At 43.2% G+C, this 25,337-nt stretch overlaps 1 long non-coding RNA gene across 8 annotated transcripts in view; it reads right to left on the bottom strand.

Annotated features, from left to right (window-relative positions):
• Window positions 1-25,337, bottom strand: part of LOC105373592 (uncharacterized) — a 530,486-nt gene that overhangs the window by 488,124 nt on the left and 17,025 nt on the right. For all 8 annotated transcript variants that reach the window (XR_001739684.2, XR_007087222.1, XR_923281.3 and 5 more), the window contains exon 2: window positions 368-481. This is a non-coding gene — a long non-coding RNA (uncharacterized LOC105373592). The remainder of the gene's footprint in view (window positions 1-367; window positions 482-25,337) is intronic.

Below are 25,337 nucleotides of genomic sequence, written 5' to 3'. Positions count from 1 at the left end.
TCTTTTAAATTGGTTATCTAAACATAAAACTATTCATGATTCTGGCATTCACTGTCCTCCTAAATGTCAACATGATGAGTGGGTACCATGCTTCATGGTGTTGTGTCTAGACTTACAGACATACAATTTTGCAAAATGTTCCCCAGCCATCAGTGCAATGTTTGTGACTATGGACCTAACTGGTGAGTACTTCCAACTGGAACGTGAAATGAAGTAGGAAAATGAATGTTAGCACTAGTGGATAATGATACTCTGTTTTGCAAGACTCTACAGTCTTCACGTGTTCTGAGAGAGAGAATCTGGCAATTTAATTAGTCTTTCTTCAAGGAAAATTTTGACAACTTAATTAGCTTATCTTTTCTTTTACCTAAATGCTTCTGCAACTTGAATCCTCCTCGTCTCCAAGGCAGTGTTCATCTCTGAAGTCTGCGGTGGCACAGCTACAAACCTTGGCAATCTTCCAACACAGTTGTCTTTTATTCTGAGGAAATAGGAAGAGATGTGAAGAAATGTTTCCCTGGGGCTGGAACAGTATTAGTCACACAGTGGATGTTTAAGGAGACAAGTCACTCTGTGCCCCTGCTAAGTTCCAGGAGGCAGAGGAGTCCATGTGTTCCCAAATCTGTGTTGTGTGTTTCTGATTTGCAAGGAATTTACAAGGCCCTCTCGTATGCGGTAAGCATGGAGCATGGGGTACGGTTACTCTTGCCAGCATCTTAGGGCAGCATCAGGATACAAAGTCAATCAGAACCGAGTTCACTCACTGAATTCCGCCATTCTTTTAGTGTGCAGACTTGCATGAAACAGTAGTTAAGTTACTAAATTCTCCAGGATTCTTAGTTTTCTAATCTGTGCAATGAGGACAATGAAACCTCACCTCATTTAAGATTGTCTTGAGAATGAAATAAGATATTTGTAGAACTTCAAAATATTTTTGAGACATAATTGGTGCTCTATTACTGTTGAATAAGTCAATTACAATAAATGGAGTTAGTAAGTTCTCTAGACACCTGTTTTCTCATTTACAAAATGGGAGAAGTGATATCTATGTGTGATATTGTGATATAATAATAAAAAATTTGATCCTGCCCCTCAATCCTGGCACACAGCTCCTAAAACCCTTGAAATTTCTGTAGTAATAAGAGTGCCTTTTGTATGCTAATAAGATGAATGACATCTGGGGGCCCCTAGAAAGCTTCAGGATGGGGACTGATCACCAAAAAGACCAAACCATGAGTGGAGGATTGGGGCATTCACCCCACTCTCCAACCTCTGAGGAGGAGACAGGGGCTAGAGATTGATCACCAATGGCCAATGATGTCATCAGTCATGCCAGCATAATGAAGCCTCCATAAAAATGGGAAAGGACAGGGTCAGAGGGCTTTCCAGTTGCTGAACTCACAGAGGTTCCTGGAGGGTGCTGTGCCTGGAGAGGGAATGGAAGCTCTGCGCCCCTTCCCTCTTACCTCACCCTACAAATCCTTAGATTTACCTTGCAAATCTAAGGATTTGCTAAAGTGTCTTTAGAATCCAGCTGTTCATCTGTATCCTTTGTAGTATATTTTATGATAAATGAGTAAATGTAAGTAAGTGTTTCCCTGAGTTCTGTGAGCCACTCTAGCAAATTAATCAAACCCAAGGTGGGGGTGCTGGGAACCCTCCATTTACAGTCATTGAGTCAGAAGCACAGATTACAACTCGGGACTTGTGGTTGGCATCTGAAGTGGGGTCAGTCTTGTGGGAATGAGCCTATAACCTGTGGGACATGACGCTGTCTCCAGGTAGATGGCGTCGGAATTAAATTAGAGAATTGGTTATTGGTAGGGAGAAATTCCCACACACATTTTGGTGACCAGAGCTGAGTGCTGTTGTGTGAGGGTAGGAAAAAACACAGTTTGGTTTTACCTTCAGAGTATGTCATTAAGACTATTTTGAGAATTAAATAACATAATTGGCACATAAGAAGGGGTGAATATTAACTGGAAGCAGTGTTTATTGTGACATGGTGATGAGGATGAGGATGAGGATGATGAGAATGACAATGACAACTCCAAGCACAATGCCAAGCACATCCCATTTCATCAGGAAGCTCTTCAAACAGGCATTAAACAAAACCAAAAGCAAATCTCTACACTCGACTATTCAGACCACACTATTGATAAAATAACTATTACTGTTTTTCTCATAATTATTAGTCTGTCATAAAGCTAACATTCACTAATGAAGGACAGTAAGTACAGAGCAGCAAATGTCTAGATTCTCTTCCATGGGAGCATATATAATCCCATTGAGAAGATGGCTCTAATATACAAGAAATAATTTTGTTAACAAGACAGAATATAGCACTATTAAGTCAAATGCTAACTTGTATTGTGCTGGCTGCCTGGAATAAGAATTCCAAAGGAAAAGTGATTGGTGGGGCTGGAGCAGTCAGTGGGTTTGTAACTGAATGACAGAAGAAGACAGATTTTTTTAAAGACGAAGAAGAAGAAGAAGAAGAAGGAGGAGGAGGAAGAGAGAGGCAAGGTGTGGCGGCTCACACCTGTAATCCCAACACTTTGGGAGGCTGAGGTGGGCAGATCACCTGAGGTCAGGGGTTCGAAACCAGTCTGGCCCACGTGGCGAAACCCTGTCTCTACTAAAAATACAAAAATTAGCTACGCCTGGTGGCACATGCCTCTAGTCCCAGCTACTCGGGAGGCTGAGGCACAAGAATCACTTGAACCCAGGAGGCAGAGGTAGCAGTGAGCTGAGATCATGCCACTGCACTCCAGCCTGGGTGACAGAGTGAGACTCCAGCTCAAAAAAAAAAAAATAAAAGAAGAAGAAGGGAAAGAGGCAGAAAGGGAAAAAAGAAGGAAGGAAAAGAAACAGGGAGGGAAAGGAAAAGAGGGAAGAAGGTACCAGAGTTGTATGAATAAAGAGAGTAGAGAAGTTGGAGTACGAGTCTATCTGAATAACAGAAAATAAACTCATATATTAACATCAACATTTCCCTTCTCATTGGTTCTAGCTACTTGTTTTCCCCGAATTTAAGGCTGAGGCCCTGTCCTTTCACTGTTAAATGATGCTGCTATGAGGAAACAGATGGTCCTCGTGTTGCAGAAATCATCACTGCCGCAATCTTGGATCCATATGGGAACTTCAGTTAACACAAACTTTGACATACCCTCTTGTTGTTCTTTCTTTTCTAATTATTACCAAGTTTGTTCACTGTCTGTCACTCCTGGTGTTAGAAATACTATCAGTTAGCATTCTAGTCATTATTCACCATTAATTCCTCCAGCACTCAATCACCACATCTGTTATTAACCATCTGGTCCATCTTTCCACTTCTGCATGTTATTTACATATGGCAGTTACCCAAGTTAACGTGGCCATTTAGACGGCCAGGTTTGCACTCATTTCCAAAACACAGCTACAGGGATAATATTTTGCCAATATTAAATCAAGGCATTTTAACCCCACCTCCTCTTTTTCCACATGCAACCTCCTATTTCCTGGAATGTGGCGTATTGCTCCAGGGCAGAAGACAGCTAGACCATGACCTCTTTAAGAAGACAGTAGGCTAGAAGGTCAGACATTGCAAAAACCAGAAAGGATTTGCTAAGTGTCTTTAGAATCTATGTGATGCATCAAGGACCAGGGCTGGGAGACCAGAGTCTAAGTCCTTTTCTACAAGGGAGAGATGCAACTGAAAAAGGAAGGGAAAGCCCACCCCTCCCAGCCAGGGAATTACGGAAAGAGGAAGCAGAGACGTGCTGATAAGGGCCGCAATGTAAGGGATTGTGTCAGATGAAGGGCACGGACCCCCAAGGCCGGAGGGCCACTCCTACTCACCATGAGGGACTCTTGGAAGCTGCCACCTCAAATGCCCATCCAAGAGTCCCTCTCCTTCCTTCACCCCGGGATACAGATGCCACCTTGGAGAAGAGAGGGGAGGGGAAGAGAGTGGAGATAAAAAGACTGCGCTTGGGCCGGGCACAGTGGCTCACACCTGTAACCCCAGCACTTTGGAAGGCCAAGATGGGTGGATGACCTAAGGTCAGGAGTTCCAGACCAGCCTGACCAGTATGGTGAAACCCCATCTCTACTAAAGAAACAAAAATTAGCTGGGCATGGTGGCATGCACCTGTAGTCCCAGCTACTTGGGAGGCTGAGACAGAAGAATTGCTTGAACCCAGGAGTCGGAGGTTGTAGTGAGCCAAGATCGCACCACTGCACTCCAGCCTGGGTGACAGAGCAAACGACTCCTTCTCAAAATAAAAAAATAAAAAAATAAAAAAGACCGCGCTTTTTTTCCTAAAATATTTGAATGTATTACCTAACAATTTAATCAAGTCAAACTGTTTTAAACTTTGAAGAACTTATAAGTTAGAGAAAAACTAGATTATTTGTTGACAACATAAAAAAAACTATACACATCTGGCTAAGTAAATTTGCAATCTGCAACATACAGTAGTTTTTTGTCAATTCAGATTTTCTTCATTAATTTTGAGTTCACATGAACTCAGGCATGCAAAATCAATGCCTCTATCTAGGGACAAAACAACTTACTGGCTCATCTTACAGAGTAAATGAAATTATAGAAAGAATATTTACCTACTTAAGAGAATAAAACTATTAAACATCCTAGAAGCACAATTTGCCTATGAAGAATGTCATTTCAGCTAAAGAAGCAGTGTATGATGTTCAGGATGGTGTTTGATATGCTAATTATGTAGTCTTCTAATATGAATTTATTATTAATGTCAGCTAACATTTACTGAGCCTTTAATATGGGCTAGTCAATGTGCTAAGCAGTGACAATAGCTCCAACCCTATGAGGGTTGCTATTATTATGCCCCTTCATAATGAAAAATCAAGGCTAGAGGAAGTGTCTGTTGTATTTATTGAGTTCACTGTAAAAAATGTTTATACTCTATGGAGATGCTACTGGTTGGCCAAATAGTCAAGTTCATGTAATAACAAAGGACATATAATGGAATTCAATTGTACAAGGGTCCTTTATTTGGGGAATAAAATGACCACTGCAGCAATTTGTGGATAAATGATCAGGATGAGTTTCAGACCACTTCTCTCATCACTGTAATGTAACTACCTCTGCTATAGAGATAAATGGGCTCTGACCCACCCACAGGAACACTAGAGTCTGGTTCTGCCAAAAACCTATCATAGGCCAGGGTTACAGACGTTACTGCTTAGGTTTCTTGACTAGTTTTTAAGCTCAGAATGTAGGAAAAGCTCCTCTTTCAGTAATAAAATTCATCTTTGTTCATTCTGAAGCCTTGGTGGAAACCTTCCAAGAGGCGCCATAGGGCCTTGCCCCTGCACTGCCTCTCTCCCTGCCTTAGAAAGCAATCTGCAGGGCCTGGAGCAGGAGGGAGCTTTCGCCTGGTATGGCACACTCCTGAGAGTGGACAGGAATCAAGTTTTGATCAGACAAGCCTGGCTGGAGTCCGTGATTTGCCACACACTACTTGTGTGACTTCTGAGCTTTAGCTGCCTTAGCCATTAAAATGCAAGTAATAACATCTAACTCATAGGGTTGTTGTGCTGATTATATGAACAAAGGTATGTAAAGCCCTTCACATGGAATCTGGCACCTGGTGAACACTTCAGTGAATAGTCGCTTACCACTATTTTACTGTTAATAATAAGCACTCCTCAAGTAAAAACACTTGCTGCACCAAATACTTTCCAAAATACCAGTCGTGAGGAAGTAATCCTGATTTAGTCAACTTCTTGACTTTCATTCTAAGAGACTCAAGAGTAAGAAGATCCTTTTAAAAGCCCTTCATCGACGGGTGGTGGATCAATTAGTTCAGGTCTCTTCTAGAGACAGGCCAGTAGGAAATGGATCCTAGTAATTTAAGGAGAAATAAATATTGCATCTCATCTTAGGTAAAGAGACATGACCACACATTTTAAGGAAAATTTGAAAGCATCCCTGAGGAACCTTCCAACCCAGTTTATTCTCTGTTCAAGAGCTAAGCTAGTTGGAGGGTTTGGCTAACAAGAAGTTGTACTAACTCCACTGTTGGCTTTATAACTTTTTGTTTAAATTTTGTTCAAACTCGTTCTTTGAAATATTAAAGTAATTTTAAAACATTACAGCAAAAAAAAACAATAATTTTTTTCAAAAAATAACATTTATAATCCCAGGGGTCCAATTGCTGACTTTCTGTTTTCATTTTTGTTTCTTTGGTTTGGTTTTGTTTTGTTTGCGATGCAGTCTCACTCTGCTGCTCAGGCTGGAGTGCAGTGGCGTGATCTCGGCTCACTGCCACCCCGGCCTCCTAGGTTCAAGCGATTCTCCTGTCTCAGCCTCCTGAGTAGCTGGGGTTAGCTGGGATTACAGGCATGTGCCACCACACCTGGCTAATTTTTGTATGTTTAGTAGAGATGGGGTTTCACCATGTTGGCCAGGCTGGTCTTGAACTCCTGACCTCAGGTGATCCGCCAGCCTCAGCCTCCCAAAGTGCTGGGATTACAGGTGTGAGCCACCGTGCCTGGCCAATTGCTGACATTTTGGTGTATGACCTAATCCTAATTCTATCTTCACATTCCTCTTTCTCCCTTTATACTCATACTCTTTGGGAAAAAAATGCAGTACTCACTCTCTCAAATTTCTGAGAGGTTGCTCTTCCTCAAGCCACTCCTCCAGTCAGGTTTTTTACCACTACCTTCCCCCAAAGGGCTCTTGTCAAGATCACCCGTGGCCTCCATGCTGCTCAGTCTGAGGGCCGAATCTCAGCCTTCTTCCTAACTACCTTCTTGAAGGCATTTGCCTCAATTTCCCTCTCCTGCCTCTTGGAGGCACTTTCTTCACCCCACTTCCAGGACATCAGCCTCTCCGGTTTCCTCCTACCTCACTGGACCTCTCTCCACTTCCTCTGTGGTTTCTGCTCTTCTCCCAGCCTCCCGAAATTGGAGGGGCGAACCCAGGTCTCAGTCCTCGGTTCTCTTCTCTTCTCTCAGGCTCCTCATCCAGACCCATGGCTTTAAATAGGTCTCCATGCTCTCTCCCCAGGTTATGTCCCCAGCCTTGACCTCTCCCCTGAACTCCAGACTTGCCTCTGTAACTCTCTACAAAACACCTCCACTTGGCTCTGTGGTGCACTTCTCACATTTAACGTCCCGATCTTTCCCAACTCAATCCTTCCAGGTGCTCAGTCCAAAACCTTGGAATCATCCTGGCTTCATCTTTATCTTTCACCCATTCAATCCATCCAAAAAAAAAATCATCATCATTTCTTGATTCAAAATACATCCAGATAAATCCTACCTCAAATCTCCCCTTAACCACTATTACCCTTGCCCAAACCACTACCATTCCTCTCTGTACAATTGCAGGTCACCTCCCCAAGTGTCCTCTACAGATTATAGCTGTCCAGTGGAAATAGAATGCTGCCACATATGTAATTTAAAATTTTCTAGCCTCAAATTGCTTCTGGAAAGCTATAAAAAATTAAAAATTAAAACATTAAAGAAAATCCTAGTAGCCACATTAAAAAGGGGGAAAAACTTAAATTAATTAATTTTAACAATATTCTTTATTTAATCCAATATATCCAAAATATTACCATTTCAACATGCAATCAGTATAAAAATCAGTAACATGTTCTACATTTTTTCACACTAAGTGTTTATAATACAAAGCCAGTGTGTATTTCACACTGATGGCACATCTCAGCTCCGGCTTTGCCACAACCCAAGTGCTCAGTAGCCACAAGTGGCAAGTGGCCACCAAAGTAGACAGTGCAGCTACAGAATATTCTAAACACAGCTTTCAGAATGATCATTTTAGAACATAAGTAACTATGTCGCTCCTCTACTTAAAACCCTGCAGTGGCTCCCCTTTTCCCTCAGAGTAAGAGCCAAATCCCCTGCAATAGCCAATAGGAACCCCTGTGAGCCGTACACCTCTTATCTCTTTGACCTCGCTCCTCCTCCCTTCGCCCCACTGCAGCCCTGCCACGGCTTCTTAAAGTCCTTGTCTGTGCCAGGGACTCTGCACCCCAGCGGCTCTGCACTGCTGTTCCTTCTGCCTGCAACACTGCTGACAGCCCATAACTCACTCCATCACCCCTTACTCTTGACTCACACACAGCCTTCTCAGTGAGGCCCATCCAGACCTCCCTTTCTAACACTGAAAATCCCCCACCCATCCAAACACACACCCTTAATATGGCCTCTCTTCCTTAGACTTATCTACTTTTTTCCATAATATGTTTAACCTTCGAACACACCATAAGGTCAGCTTTCTCCCCACACTGGAATGTAAGCCTCATGATGCAGTCAGGGCTTTTGACTTCTGTGTTCACCGAGGTGTTCCCAGAGCCTAGAACAGAACCTGGGCTACACACAATAAATAATAAATACTTGGTGAGTTGAGTTATATTTTTATTCACTTAATACAGCATGAAGGGCCAGGCACGGTGGCTCACAACTGTAATCTCACCACTTTGGGAGGCCGAGACAGACGGATCACCAGAGATCAGGAGTTCGAGACCAGCCTAGCCAACAGGATGAAACCCCGTCTCTACTAAAAATACAAAAATTAGCTGGACGTGGTGGCAGGTGCCTGTAATCCCAGCTACTCAGGAGGCTGAGGCAGGAGAATCACTTGAACCTGAGAGGTGGGATGGCATCACTGCACTCCAGCCTGGATGACAGAGTGAGACTCCATCTCAAAAAACAAGAAAAAAAAAATACAGCATGAAGATTGTTCCCTCACCGTTAAATATTCATCTCTATCATCATTTAGACGATGGAGTGGTGTATCATTCATGGAGGCAGTTCCTTTCTACTGAACCAACCTAATTGTGAGCACTAAGGTGTTTCCAGTTTTTGTCATCAGCAAGCCGTCATTGGGATAGAGGTACATGTTTGTTGGTAAATTTGATTCTATCTGAAACGAAGGAAATGTAAATGTGTAGGTCTCTGACAAATATTAATATATTGTTTTTCAGTCTTAGATTTCCCTTTATAAGCAAAACTTAATGAACACTCTAGTTGAACAGAATTTCATGTACCTGTGGGATTTTCTCCTTTGAATAAACTCCTAGAAGTGAAATAACTAGATCAAGGGGTGTGCATTTTTATGATGGCTCTGCTCCATGCAGACTGTACTTGTCTTTGTTGTTGGTTACTTGTAGGTAGGTCAGTCAGCTGCGCAGCTTCATCACATACATAGCTATACACACACACACACACACACACACACACACACACACACATAATCGTTCTCCATCCCACCCAAGTCCACCAAACTAGAATCTCTGTAAGTCACGCCCAGTCATCTGTATTTTTGGAACTGCCTGGTTAATTTTAATGTTTGTCTGGTATTTCAAACTACTAACTGAGAAACTGAGTGGCTATGTCTTTGAGAGGGAGCACCACCACCAATAATATTTTCATTTCCATTAAAAATATAATGGGTGGCCAGGCACGGTGGCTCATGCCTGTAATCCCAGCACTTTGAGAGGCTGAGGCAGGTGAATCACCTGAGGTCAGGAGTTTGACACCAGCCTGGCTAACACGGTGAAACCCCGTCTCTACTGAAAATACAAAAAATTAGCCGGGCGTGGTGGCAGGCACCTGTAATCCCAGCTACTTGGGAGGCTGAGGCAGGAGAATGGCATGAACCCGGGAGGCGGAGCTTGCAGTGAGCAGAGATCGCGCCACTGCACTCCAGCCTGGGCGAAAGAGCAAGACTCTGTCTCAAAAAAAAAAAAAAAAAAAAAATACAAAAATTAGCCAGGCATGATGGCAGGTGCCTGTAATCCCAGCTACTCGGGAGATTGAGGCAGGAGAATTGTTTGAACCCGGGAGGCAGAGGTTGCAGTGAGCTGAGATCATGCCATTGCATTCCAGCCTGGGTGACACAGGAGACTCTGTCTAAAAAAAAAAAAAAAAAAAAAAAAAATATATATATATATATATACACACACACACACACACACACACACACACACACACACACACATACATATACGCTGGGAGTGGTGGCTCATGCCTGTAATCCCAGCACTTTGGGAGGCCACAGAAAGAGGATCACTTAACCCCAGGAGCTGGAACCCAACCTGGGCAAGATGGTGAGACATCATCTCTCTAAAACTTTTTTAAAAATTAGCCTGGCATGGTGGAACATACCTGTAGTCCCAGCTACTTGGGAGGCTGAGGCGGGAGGATTCCTTGAGCCCAGGAGTTCAAGGCTGCTGTGACCTATGATCACACCTCTGCACTGCAGCCTAGGAGACAAAGTGAAACCCTGTCTCTAAAAAAGTAAATAAATATAAATAAATAATTAAAATATAATGAAAATAAAGTAGATCAATCTAAGGAAGACAGGGCATACTAAAGTTATGTGAGTGGGTGGCGATTTTTCAGTATTTTTTGTTTTTGTGGGTTTGTTGTTTCGTTTTGCTTTCTGGTTTTTGTTGTTGCTGTTTTTTGTTTGTTTGTTTGAGACAGGGTCTCATTCTTTCACCCAGGCTAGAGTGTGCAGCCTCAACTTCCTGGCCTCAAGCAATCCTACCACCTCAGCCTCCCAAATAGCTGGGACCACAGGCACATGCCACCATACCAGGCTAATTTTTTTTTAATACAGTCTGGGTCTCACCATATTGTCCAGAATGAACTCCCAGGCTCAAGTGATCCTCCCACCTCAGCCTCCCAAAGTACTGGATTATAGGCATGAGCCACCATGCCCAGCCTGGATTTTCTGTTTTTAAAAGGGAGGTCTGGATAGGCCTCCCTGAGAAGGTCACATTTGAGTCAAGAGGAAGGGGTGAAGGAGTGAGCCATGGGCTGTCTGGCAGAGTGTTCCAGGATCAGGTGAGCTCCCATGCTCTGATGGGGATTTCCCTGACCCCTAATTGCATTCCCACGCACATGTGCAGATGAAGCTGTTCACACTGCCCAGAGAACAGCTCTTGGGTCAGAGAGGTCAAGAGGGGCTCACTAACAGAGTCAAATAGAGCAGGGATGTCAGCTGTCAATCCCCTAATGCCCACCAGGAAAACCCATCAGGCAGAACTACGTGGATCCAACTCAACAAAGCAAGGGAGACACCACCTTGATGGTCTCAGTGGTGTCTCAAAGGGAAAATCAGGGAAGAGTATTTATAAGATTTTAAGGCCAAGGCTGGTTGATTTTATGGCAAGAATTACAAGGTGGAGAACTGATTGGGATGGAGCAGAGTTTTGACACAGCAGCTGGAGATTGATGGGCATGGTGAGGTGAGGGTCTCAAAGCCGCATTGATGAGAAAGCTGTTAATCTTGGTTCACAGTCTTATCTTCCAGGAACAGGTATTTCCTGGAGGAAGCAGCTAAGCTATTTCTCTCTGGTCCCAAGATTGTTTGGTATAAAATCAGGTATAAAAACGTTCTCAATTCTTCCCAGAACTGTTTAGCACAAGGACAGGAAAGTGTGTTTGTTCCCTGCATTATTTAACATGGGGAGACTGGTTCAGTTCTCAGGGAGAATGCACCCACCCAGACTTTGTGATTGGAGTACAAATTATTAAGTCTTTGTAAATAAAATAGATTTCCTTATCTTTCAGTAGAGTCTACTTTAAAGCTCACAATTACAAGAGTTAGATCAGCTGGTTAAAACCCCACACAGGCCTTTTCGTGTGGTCCACAGGGACCCTGGGGATGCTGTGCGCAGGGCCTAGCACTTGAGAGGAATTCAATATATGCCTTTTAAAATCAAACCTCTTAAACCTTAGCAAGCAGCTCTCCAATGCCAAGGAAGAGAATACTAGAAGGGTCCCTTCTGGAGGAGCGAGGTTTCAAGCCATCTCAGGGACCATAGTCAAAGGCAGGGAACCCACTTGGAGCTAGGTCCTTCCTTATACCTAGGGAGGTGAAATGTTGCCCTCCAGGTAGCTTCAGCTACCAGTCAGACTCTGCAGCTTGTGACAAAACATGTGGCCCAGGAGATTTGACAAGAAGGTACGGAGGGGGCCTGAGAGACTCCATCCTACACCTTATAGAGCTCTTGCTCATTCTACTTATGGAAGACGTCTTTAATCAGACCTCTGCTAGCTCCACTTTTGAGGTGGTTCTTCTAGAATGCATAACAGAAGACAGTTATGTAGAGGCCGGAATTTAACTCCGTTGACTGCAGAGAGCCCCCACTCTGTCCTCAGTGCTAGGGTAGAGGAGCAGCTGCCGCCCCTCCATGGCACGCACAAGACATTGGTTCCCATCACATGGACTCAGTGTGGTCCTCCCTGGGGAGGCAGGGAGGTGGACTCTGAAGAATCTGCTTCTCTGAAAGTTAAAGAAAAGAGATATGCATTGGCCTGAAGTGCTGGGACAAGGTCACCAAACACGGGAGGGTTAACCAAAGTCCTGGACTTCTATGATTAAAACATCAACTGCAGGCGCCTCCATGGACAAGTTACTTAACTCTTTGTGCCATTATTCCCATCTACTAAGTAGCTCACAAGCAGGGCTGCTGTGAGGATTTGTTAATACTTGTAAAATACTGGGAAGGGCACCCAGCACAGAGTGAGCGCTACATAGGGAGAGCTGTTATTATTTTTTCACTCTCTGTGAATCTTTATCATTTTCCCATCTACATGTCTGTCTCTTTATCCAGACTATCCATGCATTTCAACAGGGATGATTGGAAGAGGGGGTAAAAAATTTATTCATTTTATGTATAAAATATATAGAGAGATAGATGGATATATAAACAGATAAATAAATGGGCCAGGCTCAGCGGCTCACACCTGTAATCCCAGCACTCTGGGAGGCTGAGGCAGGTGGATCATGAGGTCAGGAGTTCAAGACCAGCCTGGCCAACATGATGAAACCCCGTCTCTACTAAAAATACAAAAATCAGCCAGGCAAGGAGGCACGCGCCCATAATCCCAACTACTCTGGAGGCTGAGGCAGGAGAATCACTTGAACCCGGGAGGTGGAGGTTGCAGTGAGCCAAGATAGTGCCACTGCACTCCAGCCTTGGTGACAGAGTGACACTCCATCTCAAAAAAAAATAAATAAATGGATGGAAAATAGATAGATAGACAGGTACTAACTATACAGTACATAAACAGATATCTAGTAAACCCATGGTATTAAAATTTCATGATGGAGTGAGGGGATTAGGAAAGGAAGCCTAAGTCTCTGTAGGGAGCAATGATGAAAAAAAGTCTGGCCAGCACTGTCCTGAGCTGTGAGACCTGAGAGTCGACCTGCTTAGTCTTGGAATGCCCAGCCCCTAGTGCAGTGCCTGCAGAAAGTACAGAGCCCATAAATAAACTCATATCCATCTCAGGTAATTCCTTACAAATCCCCATTTTCCCATCAGCTTGCATTGAGATATATCTCTGTCTCTGTATTGTAATATCAGGAAAGAAGAAATGCAGAGTGACTCCTTAAGAAGCAATTTATCAGCAACCAGCATCTGGGAGCTGCAGGGAATGGAAGCCCATATCACCTGCCTGGTCTCCACCCATCTGATCCACAGCAGGGGGAGGCCAATTTGTGCTGGTTCTTAGGAAAACACCTGCCAGGTAAAGGTGGTCTGCAGGGCCAGCACCTCCCTTTCAGCCCCCAGCAGCTCCCCAGGAATTTGGGCCCAGCCCCACTTCAGCAATCCCCAAGTCAAACTACTTAGGGTCCACCACTCTAGGAGTTACTAAGCAGATTTTTTTTTAAATTGAAACACACATGCAGGAGACTGATACTGGTTTAATAATTCTGCATCTCAAATTTAGACAGACAATACCTGCATCCTCAGGCAGAATGCAAAAATGGTGGGATTTCAAGCATCTACCACCCTACTTAATGGGGATTTGTTGGGGCTTTTGGCTGTTAATTCCATATTGTTTTCTTTTTAGGGGGCTTTTTAAATATGAGAGAGATGTATTTCTTAGTGCCTCAAATCACACATGCTGTGAAGTAACTTGAGTTGCCGATGTATAGAGCTGGTCTCGGTAATACTGCTTGGTTAGAAAATTGCTAAAATCAAAGAATGCCCCAAAATAGAGCCTGACATGGAGTTTGTTGATTATGCATTAAGTATATCATTTAAATATAATTTTGGCTATCTGATACACTTACCTTTAATTTTGCAAGGGGGGTAAAACCTGCAAGAACTCCATGTCACGGAACCTAAGTCACTCAGTGGACACACTCAGGTTACTACCGTGCTTCCAAGAGGCATCAGGAACAAGGGTTCGCTGCCATGCCCCTCCCTGGCCTGTGCTAAATGCTAAGGAGGGGTCCTGCCTGGGGCCCACAGCCATGGAGACAGTGTTGTCCACCACAGACTGTAAGCCACATCCCCAACCCGGCTGCAGCTCAACAGAGACAAGACAGTCTGAGACCCGCGAAAATGAGGCTGCAGAGAGCAGGTAGGCCAGCAGGCTGTGAGCACAAAGAGATTTTCTTTCAGCTGAACCCTGGGACCAGGGAGTTAGATGTACAGGTGTGATTACCGAAAGCAGGATTCTTTATTTACATTTTCTCTTCGTTCATGTCTCTAATGAGCTCCCACTAATGGCACGCATGAACTGAAAACATTTTAACTATGGCTGTCTACATCTTATCATACTTATGAGCCAATTACAAGGAACTGTTCATTTGCCAATTGTAGTGAACTCCAGGTACATTACACTGAACAGGTGTCTCACCAATAATAATGATTGTTATAATCTCAGACAGACAAAAAAGAAGGAAGAAATTTGAAGATGATGGAAGAACAAGTCTGTGCCCTGCTAGTAACAGCTGGTGGCTGTGTGATTCCCGTCATCTGAAATGCTCCACCCTTTCCCCTGAAAATGTCTGTCCTCACTCAACCTTCTACCTACTATCCTCCAGATACGGTGCTAGCTAAAAAAAGATGGCACTTCATATTCTTATGGTAGGAAGGGAACAGCCACTGTCCGTCCTTCCTCCTACAAGCCAGGCACCAAGCTAGATGTTTCCCACACATTGTCTCACGTAATCCTTACCACAGCACTGTGAAGGGGGATTATTGCCCCCATTTGTAGATAAGAAACAGAAGCTGATGGTCTGGTGCAGTGATTCTAAAACTTTAGGGTACATCAGAATCGCCTGGAGGGCTTACTGAAACGTGTATTGCTGGCCCACCCCCAGAGTTTCTAAGTCAAGAGGTCCGAGGTCTGAATTAGGACCGGGAATTTGCATTTCCAATTAGTTCCTGTATGAGGCTGATGTTGCTGGTCCCGGTTCACATTCTGAGAACCACTGGAATCGTGGAATAGGTATAAGCTGAGGTTTGACATAGACTCAGGTTCAAGTATAAACCCTACTGATTAATTCCCATATGATAATGGGCAGGTCACTAAATCTGGCTGAGCCTCGACTATAAAATAGAGATAATGACATCTACTTTGCAGTGTGGCTCAGAGGACTTGCAATAAAATGTGTGTGGAGGGCCTAACTGGAACCCAGGTAGCAAGCACTCAATAGGGCATCACTGCTGTTAGGGAGGCCACTGTTGCACTGTGAGTCCAGCATCACAGCCAGATTGGGACCCATGACCTTCTCCAAAGTCTGGCTCTTCTTCATGAACTTTCCTATTCTCACATTCCCAGCTCCGAAGTCCTGGTGCACTTATAGGATGCGCCACACAATGACGCCCATCATTCTCAACAGTCTGAATCAGCCAATATTGCTTTCTGCATATATCTTACCCCCTCTCCGCCCAGTGTAAGTTCCTTGAGAAGGGAACTGTGTTTTATGCTGCTTCTACATGTCCCCTACATGAAGGCTAACGTAGAAGGCTCTGAATCATCCTGGAGCTGGGAGGCCTGCCCTCCGCATCCCACCCTACCAGCCCCCAGGGAGCCCACTAGCCTTTGTCTCCAGTTGCCTCTGAGTTTGTAAAAGCAGTTCCATAAACTTTTTGGAAACTTTTGTCATAAAGCCACCATAGCATTAAAACTACAGAGAGCCTAAGTTCCCATCCATTTTAGTCCTTTGTTTCACAATTGAGAACAGTTGGGTTTGTGGCAGATCCAAAGGCTTTAGATATATCAGGCTTGAGGTCACAGAGTGATGTGACATTGCATAAGTTACTTAACCTCTTTAATACTCAGTTTTCTTACCTGTAAAATGAGAACAGAGACCTTACAAGTTTACTGAGCTACCACTAATATATGCAAAGTGATCAGCACACAACCATCACAAAACAATTGATAGTTATAGTTAGTGCTATTGTTGCTGTTAATAACCATCACTAGAAATCATAGAAGACATAATCCTGTTTTGTTCATGTTATATTGTCTGTAATATGCATTAAAATATCTCAGTATGAACAGCATGGTGTACACGTATATACAAATTAACTTTATACCCAAGAGTTATTGAATAACATTTGAATCATCTAATCATAAATCCATACTCCAGAGGAAAGTAAGGCCTTGTTCAGGTGTTTTCATCTGTATTTATACCAGGAGTACACTAGTTAGCATAAGGGATAAGAGATGCACAAAGTGTTATACTGCCAAATAAGACTCACAAGGATCAGAGGTCTTAACCAGTACCAAGATTTACTAATAAGTCCAAGGATGCAAGTAATTGTGAGGCACAGATAAAGCAAAGAGAAGTCTGGACACCGGGCATAGCTCCCCAGGTCCACTCTTGCTACATCAGCATGCACTTTGAGGAATTCCATGCAGCTGCATCACTCACACAAAAGGGATCTGCTGTGGTCATAAAACATCTCCAATTTTATACTTAAATATTTACATAGCCTACACGATACTTTCCAGGTAGTCCTGTGACATAAATCCATAGATCTCAAGTGTTTTTTTTGTTTGTTTTTTTGGTTTTTTTTACTGTTGTGGACCAAATGTTTGTGTCCCCCACCAAATTCATATGTTGAAATCCTAACCCTCAATGTTATGGTTTTAGGAGATAGGGCTTTGGGGAGGTAATTGGGTCATGAGGGTGGAGCCTTCATGAATGTAATCAGTGCCCTTATAAAAAGAGACATGAGAGCTTGCTTCCTCTCTCTGCTCTACACTGGTAAGGATACAAGAAGAATATAACCTTCTGCAAACCAGAAGGCAGGTCCTCACCAGACTAGAGAGCAGATCCTCACCAGACACAGGACCTGCTGGTACCTTGATCTTGAACTTCCCAGCCTCCAGAACTGTGAGGAAAAATTTTTGTTGCTTAATCCACCCAGTCTATGGAAATTTGTTGTAGCAGCCTGAAAGAACGAAGATACTTACCATAAGCAATCCTATAAAGACCAAATACATCCTGCTAAAAATCCTTCCATAGGTAAGGACTCTCCTGTTAGCTACTATTGGTAGCTAACCACCAGTCAGTGGTTTTCCAGGAGGCCTGTTACAAACATGTTTACAAGAGACTTAATCAGATTGGCTTCCTTCTTCCTTTCCCAGAGGCATCCCAGCAACCTTATCCAAGGGAAAGGGATAAATTGCAGGACTGCTGCTAACCATTCTTTTCACAACATTAGAAGTCCTCTTCATTGGTTAAATGAGTGGAACTCAAAAAATATGACTGACTAAAAAGATTTACAGGATTTACTGCCTTTGCAAAAATAAAATATAAGAAGTAATCAGCTGGGTGTGGTGGCTCACACCTGAAATCCCAGTACTTTGGGAGGCCGAGGTGGGTGGGTCGCTTGAGATTGGGACTTCAAGGCCAGCCTGGCCAACATGGTGAAACCTGTCTCTACTAAAAATACAAAAATTAGTCGGGCATGGTTGTACACGTCTGTAATCCCAGTGACTCAGGAGGCTGAAGCAGGAGAATCGCTCGAACCTGGCAGGCAGAGGTTGCAGTGAGCCGAGATCATACCACTGCACTCCAGCCTGGGTGACAGAGCAAGACTCCATCTCAAAAAAAAAAAAAGAATCTGTCAAACCCAACAGGTTTCACTGATAGAGGAGTATTCCAGGTCTAGAGTGTATTCTCCCACCATCTTCAACTTAACATAAGGTTTTGTCAGCTGACTTGACTAGACAGCTGTCTGGTTCTACCACTAGAATAGCATTGCCTCTACCATGGCACCAGGGGGCCTTTCATACAAGGTGCTTGTCAAACAACATAATAATTGGGTGTGGACTTGACCTAAGTTTGGAGAAAGAGATTGTAGAACTCTTCTTTGCCTGCTTCCAATAAATATGGCTTGGTCATAAATGTAGTGTGTATGGCAGAACTGGATCCGAGACTTGTTTTCATTATAATTTAGCACCTGATAGCAAAGGGATGGGAAGGGAGCTAGTGTCCTACCATCCTCAAAACATCAAACTCTCCCAAAGTTCTGGCAATTATGAAAAGAACTAACTAGCAAAGGTCAGTTAGCAGAGAATTTATAGACCCTGCTCCTTGTCCTGCTCTGCCACTAACTAACTGTGTTGCCATGGCCCACATGTCCCTTCTGGCTTCAGTCTTCTCATCCGGATTGAATTCTATTCATCTGGACTGAACTACTATTGTTACACAGTGACTTTCTCCCTGCTCTGACCACTTCATGTCCTACTGAAGGGCACTATAGTAAAAATGGGGGTTGCAGAGGAAGAGACACAGTAGCAACTTGCTTAAATCAAAAATAAGCAAGAAAAGGGGAAAGATAAATGTGGCCATGGGATTGTGGGAAGGGAGGAGGTCCAGATGGGTTGGGAAGAAGAAGGTCATCCTTTGACATCCCTCTCTTATCTTTGAGACAGTTGAAATAAGGGACATGAAGAAACTTGAGTAAGTAGAAGGAAAACAGAAATGTTAATATCTAGGGTGATCATACAATTTATTGTCCAAATGACCAGGACTCTTTTGAGAGCACTAGGGAAATTTTTTTTTTTCTGAGACAGAGCCTCACTCTGTTGCCCAGGCTGGAGTGCAGTGGCACAATCTCGGCTAACTGCAACTTCCGCCTTCTGGGTTCAAGCGATTCTCCTTCCTCAGCCTCCTGAGTAGCTGGGATTACAGGCATGTGCCACCGCGCCTGGCTAATTTTTTGTATTTTTAGTAGAGATGGGGTTTCACCATATTGGCCAGGCTGGTCTTGAACCCTTGACCTTAAATGATCCACCCACCTCAGCCTCCCAATGTGCTAGGATTACAAGCATGAGCCACCATGCCCGGCCAGGAAGATTACTAATAATAGTTTCATAACAGATATAAACAGGCACTGTCACAGGCACATCAGGATGAATGTCACCTGACTCATCGCTGGCACTAGTCTGTGCATCAATACACAAAATTCAGTCATGCATCTGATGGTTCCTGCCATTAGGGTGAATTAATAAAGGCAAATATGATTTCTTTCAAAGCTAGAAAATGTATTTTTTATGAAAACATTCAATCAAATATGGAAATAGCAAAAGGTACCTTACTACTATCATTCTTATACTTTTAATTACTATCTTAGCTGAATTGATAGTCTTATCTTTTGTCCTTGATGAAGAACTTCTTCAACCCTTGAAGGAAAAAAAAGGAATATTTTCCCTCACTAATGGTATGAATATTTTAAATAGGTAAAGTAGAAAATATCTTTCAAGCTTCAATAAAAAGGCTACTCGACTAATCAGACTCCCTTTCATATCATGATCATCATTAAAAATTAATCTACTAATTTTATCTTTTCAAATAATATTAGAGAAAGTACTACCTTACTTCAGGAAAAAATACATATATTTATAAAAGCAAGACTGAACTAGAGTAGAAATGCTAAATCTACAGAGGCAGAACATAAATGTCCAATAATAATAAATGGTTAAGTAAATTCTAATACATTCATGTAAGGGAAAATTGTGCAGCCATTATAACTGATCATTTAGAATTATGTTGACAAACAAAAATACCTATGATATATTTAAGGAACAAGGTATGTTAAATCATGTCAAATATCTTTAAATCTACAAGTTCATGATAATACTAAAAACAAAGGAGAGAAAACATTTCATTGTTCAGTGGTGGGATGATGAGAAACCTACCCATTATTTTGAAAACTGGTAAAGAAAGGAAAAGAATCAAGCATTTATCCTGCCCTTACTGTGTAAGTTATGCCTCTGGGTAACCAAATAGTTGTGGAGGGCAAATTTATGTTTACAGAAGTATTCCAACTGATAAACAAAAATGATATGATGGGATTACAGCATCACCATTTTACACCTTGTAATGAATTAGTAGATCTAGGTAACAGATCTAAGTAACGTAAGAGAGACCAGACATGATGCCTCCTGGAGCATGTACGCGACACCATTTATAATGTATTAATAGATGTGACTAGCCAAAAAGGAGCCTGAATTTCATCAAGCTTTCAGATCTAACTAGCAACGCACAGGAACTACACAGGACAGAGGGACAGCAAAGAGACACCACAGGGGAGCAATCAGCAAGATCCAGACAGAAACTTGATAGAGTAGATGACTGCATTTCTTCAACAAATAAACTATAAGGGGAAAAGATAGAAGAGGAGCCTATAGATTTAAAAGATTGCTAAAGAAGACATGCATGCAGTCAAAAGCATATGAAAAAAAGCTCAGTATCACTGGTCATTAGAGAAATGCAAATCAAAACCACAATGAGATAACATCTTACACCAGTCAGAATGGCTACTACTAAAAAGTAAAAAAATAATAGATACTGGCTAGGATGTGGAGAAAAGGGAACACTGATACACTTAGTGGGAGTGTAAATTAGTTCAACCATTGTGGAAGACAGTGTGACAATTCCTCAAAGACCTAGAGACAGAAATACCATTTGATCCAGCAATCCCATTACTGGGTATATACCCAAAGGAATATAAATTATTCTACCATAAAGACACATGCATGTGAAAGTTCACTGCACCGCTACTGAAATAGCAAAGACATGGAATCAAACTAAATGCCCATCAATGATAGACTGGATAAAGAAAATGTGGTACATATACACCATGGAGTACTATATAGCCATTAAAAGGATCAAGACCATGTCCTTTGCAGGGACATGGATGGAGCTGGAGGTCATTATCCTTAGCAAACTAACACAGGAACAGAAAACCAAATACCAGATGTCCTTACTTATAAGTGGAAGCTAAATGATAAGAACACCTGGACACATCGAGGAGAACCACACACACTGGGGTCTACCAGAGGGCAGAGGGTGGGAGGAGAGAGGGGATCAGGAAAAATAGTAATGGATACTAGGCTTAATACCTGGATGATGAAATAATCTGTACAACAAACCCCCATGACACGTTTACCTATGCAACAAACCTGCATATCCTGCACATCTACCCCTGAAATTAAAATACAAGTTAAAAAAATAAAAATAAAAATGTCCATGTTAACTTTAAAAAAAATGTGGTACATATACACCATGGAATACTATGCAGCCATAAAAAAATGAGATCATGTCTTTTGCAGGAACACAGATGGAACTAGAGGCTATTATCCTTAGCAAACTAATGCAGGAACAGAAAACCAAATACCACATGTTCTCACTTGCACATGGGAGCTAAATGAAGAGAAGTCATGAACATAGAGAACAACAGACACTACTTGAGGGCCTACTTGAGGGTGGAGGTTTAGAGGAGGGAGAAGAGCAGAAAAAATAACTATTGAGTACTAGGCTTAGTACCTGGGTAACGAAACAATACAACGAACCCCCATAACACAAATTTACCCATATAATAAACCTTCACATGTACCCCCAAACCTAAAATAAGAGTTAAAAAAAAAAGATTTAAGAGACGTATCAGCCAAAGGAACCTATTGTAAGTATGCCTTGATCCAGATTCAAATAAACTGGAAAGAAAACAATTACAAGACAATTAGAGAAACGTAAACAGTGATTGAGTATTTAAGGATATTAAGACTGTGCTAATTGTTAAGCTGTGAAAAGGGTATTGTCATTTTTTAAGAGTTTTTATATTTTATAGAGACATGCTGAGATATTTACTGATAAATTGAGAGCATGGCTAGGATTCACTTCAGAATAATCTAGGTTGCGGGTAAATTGCAGTTCAGATGAAACAAGAGGCGCCACAAATGGAAATTCAATATGGATTTCAGTCCATTTAAGTATGTGTTTGAAGTTTTTCATAATAAAAAAGATTTTTTAAAGTGAGGGTAGGGAAACAGGATATTTAGTATAATCCCATTATGCAAAAGAGTGCAGCAAACACCTACAGACATGAGAGTGAGCTCAGGAAGAAAATCAGGCTAGGCGCGGTGGCTCACGCCTGTAATCCCAGCACTTTGGGAGGCTGACGTGGGTGGATTACTTGGGGACAGCAGTTCGAGACCAGCCTGGCCAACTGGTGAAACCCCTTCTCTACAAAAATACAAAAATTAGCCAGACATCATGGCACATGCCTGTAATCCCAGCTACTCGGGAGGCTGAGGCAGGAGAATCACCTGAAACTGGGAGGCAGAGGTTGCAATGAGCCAAGATTGTTCTACCACACTCCAGCCTGGGCAACAGAGGGAGATTCCATATCAAAAAAAAAAAAAGAAAGAAAACCAAATGGAACACATTAAAGAGTCCAGGAGCTATCCTGGGTGGCAGAACCATGGGCAATTTCTCTACTTTTATATCTTTCTCATTGTTTACACTTTTTTAATGAGCATATATTATCTTTATCGTTTTTTTAAAAAGCCGCTTTCGCTTTTTTCAAAAGAGCCTTTGAGTAAATAAGAGATCTGCTGCCTTCAGGGTCTCTTGTGGGCGGCAATTCTGGAGTTATGCTGATGGATAAAGGCTTATTGCTCTGCTAATCCTTCTTGTTATTGGAGTTTGGAGCTATTAAGGCACATTACCCTATGGAGTAATATAACATCTGAAATCGTGTCAAACAAACGTTCGAATGGTGAAAACGGCATGTTTCACAGGCATGCCAGAAAGGGTATAATTGGACCCATTAAATATGAAGCATGTGAATTCCAAAGGTTACTGAATAAATAATGTTACTTAACAAAATGAAATTAGAGTGTGAACGGGCTGAAATTAGAGTTCATTTCCTTTCTGAAAATTCCATCTCGTTCTTCAGAGAGTGAGCTGATGGGGCCTTCCCTCCATCAGCTCCTATCTGGATTTGAGAGCGTCTCCCAGAATGAAGTGCTGGCTTCACTCTTCTCTCCTGCACATGTGCACCAGGAAGCTCCTTCAGGGCTTGCATCACATACAGTTCTCTAGTGCCTAATGGGCAGAAGGCCTGTGTTTGGCACTGTGGTGGAGGGCTGGGGGACTAAGAGGACAGGGGTAAAAAAAAAATGACTTTTTTTTTAGATGGAGTCTTGCTCTGTCACCAGGCTGGAGTACAGTGGTGTGATCTCAGTTCACTGCAACCTCTGCCTCCCAGGTTCAAGAGATCCTCCTGTCTCAACCTCCCAAGTAGTAGGGACTACAGGCGTGCGCCACTATGCCCAGCTAATTTTTGTATTTTTAGTAGAGACTGGGTTCACCATGTTGGCAAGGCTGGTCTCCATCTCTTGACCTCGTGATCTGCCTGCCTTGGCTTCCCAAAGTGCTGGGATTACAGGTGTGAGCCACTGCAGCCAGCCAAAAAAAAATGACTTTTTAAACAAAGGCCTTGCTTCAGAAGATTGTGATCCAATTGGGATGTCAGCCTCTCTCTCTCTCTCTCTCTCTCTCTCACACACACACACACACACACACACACAAATTGATACTAAAACACGAATTGCAGAATTGTAGGCATTTCCTGCTCTTATGGACTAAATTATATCCCCACCCCCACCCCCAAATGTGATTATATTTAAAGATAGGGTCTTCAAGGAGGTAATTAAGGTTAAATGAGTTTGTTAGGATGAGGCACTGATCCAATACAATGTGTGTCTTCATAAGAAAAGGAAGAGCTACTAGGAGTGCATGTGCACAGAGGAAGGCCTTGTGAGAAAGCAGCCTTCTGCAAGGCAGGATGGGAGGCCTCACCAGGAACCAACCCTGCAGGCACCTTGATCTTGGACTTCCAGCCTCCAGAACCATGATAGAATAAGTGTCTGTTGTTTAAGCCCCTGAGTCTGCTGTAGTCTGTTGTGCAGCCTGAGCAGGCTGATACACCTGCAGCTCACACTTCTCCATGTCACAAGTACTTCTTCCCATTCTTCACTGCCACACACAGCTTCTTCACTCTTCAATAATGGCCACTCCATCTAGGGGCCAACAGAAACCATGGAAACTCTCTTTGCTTATCTTCAATCACTTCTTGGGATCCCTTTTCAAATATGCTGCAGTCGGGAATGCCCAAACCAGGAACACAGCTAGCCCATGTAGAGCCTTTGTGTGAATTAGAAAAAAGGCCCTTCTCTGGTCAATATGGCCCTGGGGACACACAGCAGAGTGAGCAGACAGTGTTTTTATGGTCATCAGAAGATGGCACTCCTTCCTCCACACAGACTCAGCCCAATGCCAGGGTGCACAGGTGGGCAAGCACAGTCCCACCATGCCACTTGGCCTGATGTCCTTGCACAGCAAGTCCCCAAACTTTTTGGCACAAGGCACTGGATCCACGAAAGATAATTTTTGCATGGACTAGGGGGTGGTGGGGGATGGTTTGGGGGTGATTTAAACACATTACAGCATTACATTTATCATTAGACTCTCAAAAGGAGCGAGCAACCTAGACTCCCCACATGCACAGTTCACAATAGGGTTTGTGCTCCTATGAGAATCTAATGTCACCACTGACCTGACAGGAGGCGGAGCTCAGGTGGCAATGCTCGCTTGCCCACCACTCACCTCCTGCTGTGTGGCCCGGGTCCTAACAGGACACAGACTGATACTGGTCCATGGCCCGGGGACTGGGGATGCATGTCCTTGTGCCCAACCACAGGCAGAGCTCTGAACAAGCCCCTGACCACCTGTCCCAAGGCTGGCTTCTCATCTCAGCGCAGGGCTGCACAGATGGCAGAGAATCGCAGTAGCGGTAGAGACAAGGACAGCTCCTGTGTTCCCTGAACTTCCTTCTCATTCCCCCAACACCAGCTCCAACGCTGGTCCCACCAGCAGGTACGAGCCATGTTCCACACCACCCACTCCAGAACCTCAGCCTGGCCTATGCCTGGGGACTCCTCTGACCCACAGTTGATGCCCTTCTTCCCTGCCTTTGTCATTCCACACCAGACTGAAAGGAATCCCCCAGGAGGCTGTTGGGGTGGTTGGGAGGAGGAGCGGGCCCACAGCTCAAGGCTCCCCAGGGGGACTTCACCCCAAGGCCTCTCTGCCCCTGCAGAGCTATGAAAGCTCTTCCAGGAAGGGCCACCTGGTGGCAACTTCCATTTGAAAGGATGTCCCATGTAAGCCCAAATTGAAGAATTTAACCCAATACTAAATTTTTAAAAGACTGAAAATGCACCAACTC

This window comes from Homo sapiens, chromosome 2 (genome assembly GCF_000001405.40).
Source record: "Homo sapiens chromosome 2, GRCh38.p14 Primary Assembly".
In the NCBI taxonomy this organism is placed as follows: Eukaryota; Metazoa; Chordata; class Mammalia; order Primates; family Hominidae; genus Homo; species Homo sapiens.
This window is presented reverse-complemented; position numbering and strand designations above follow the sequence as displayed.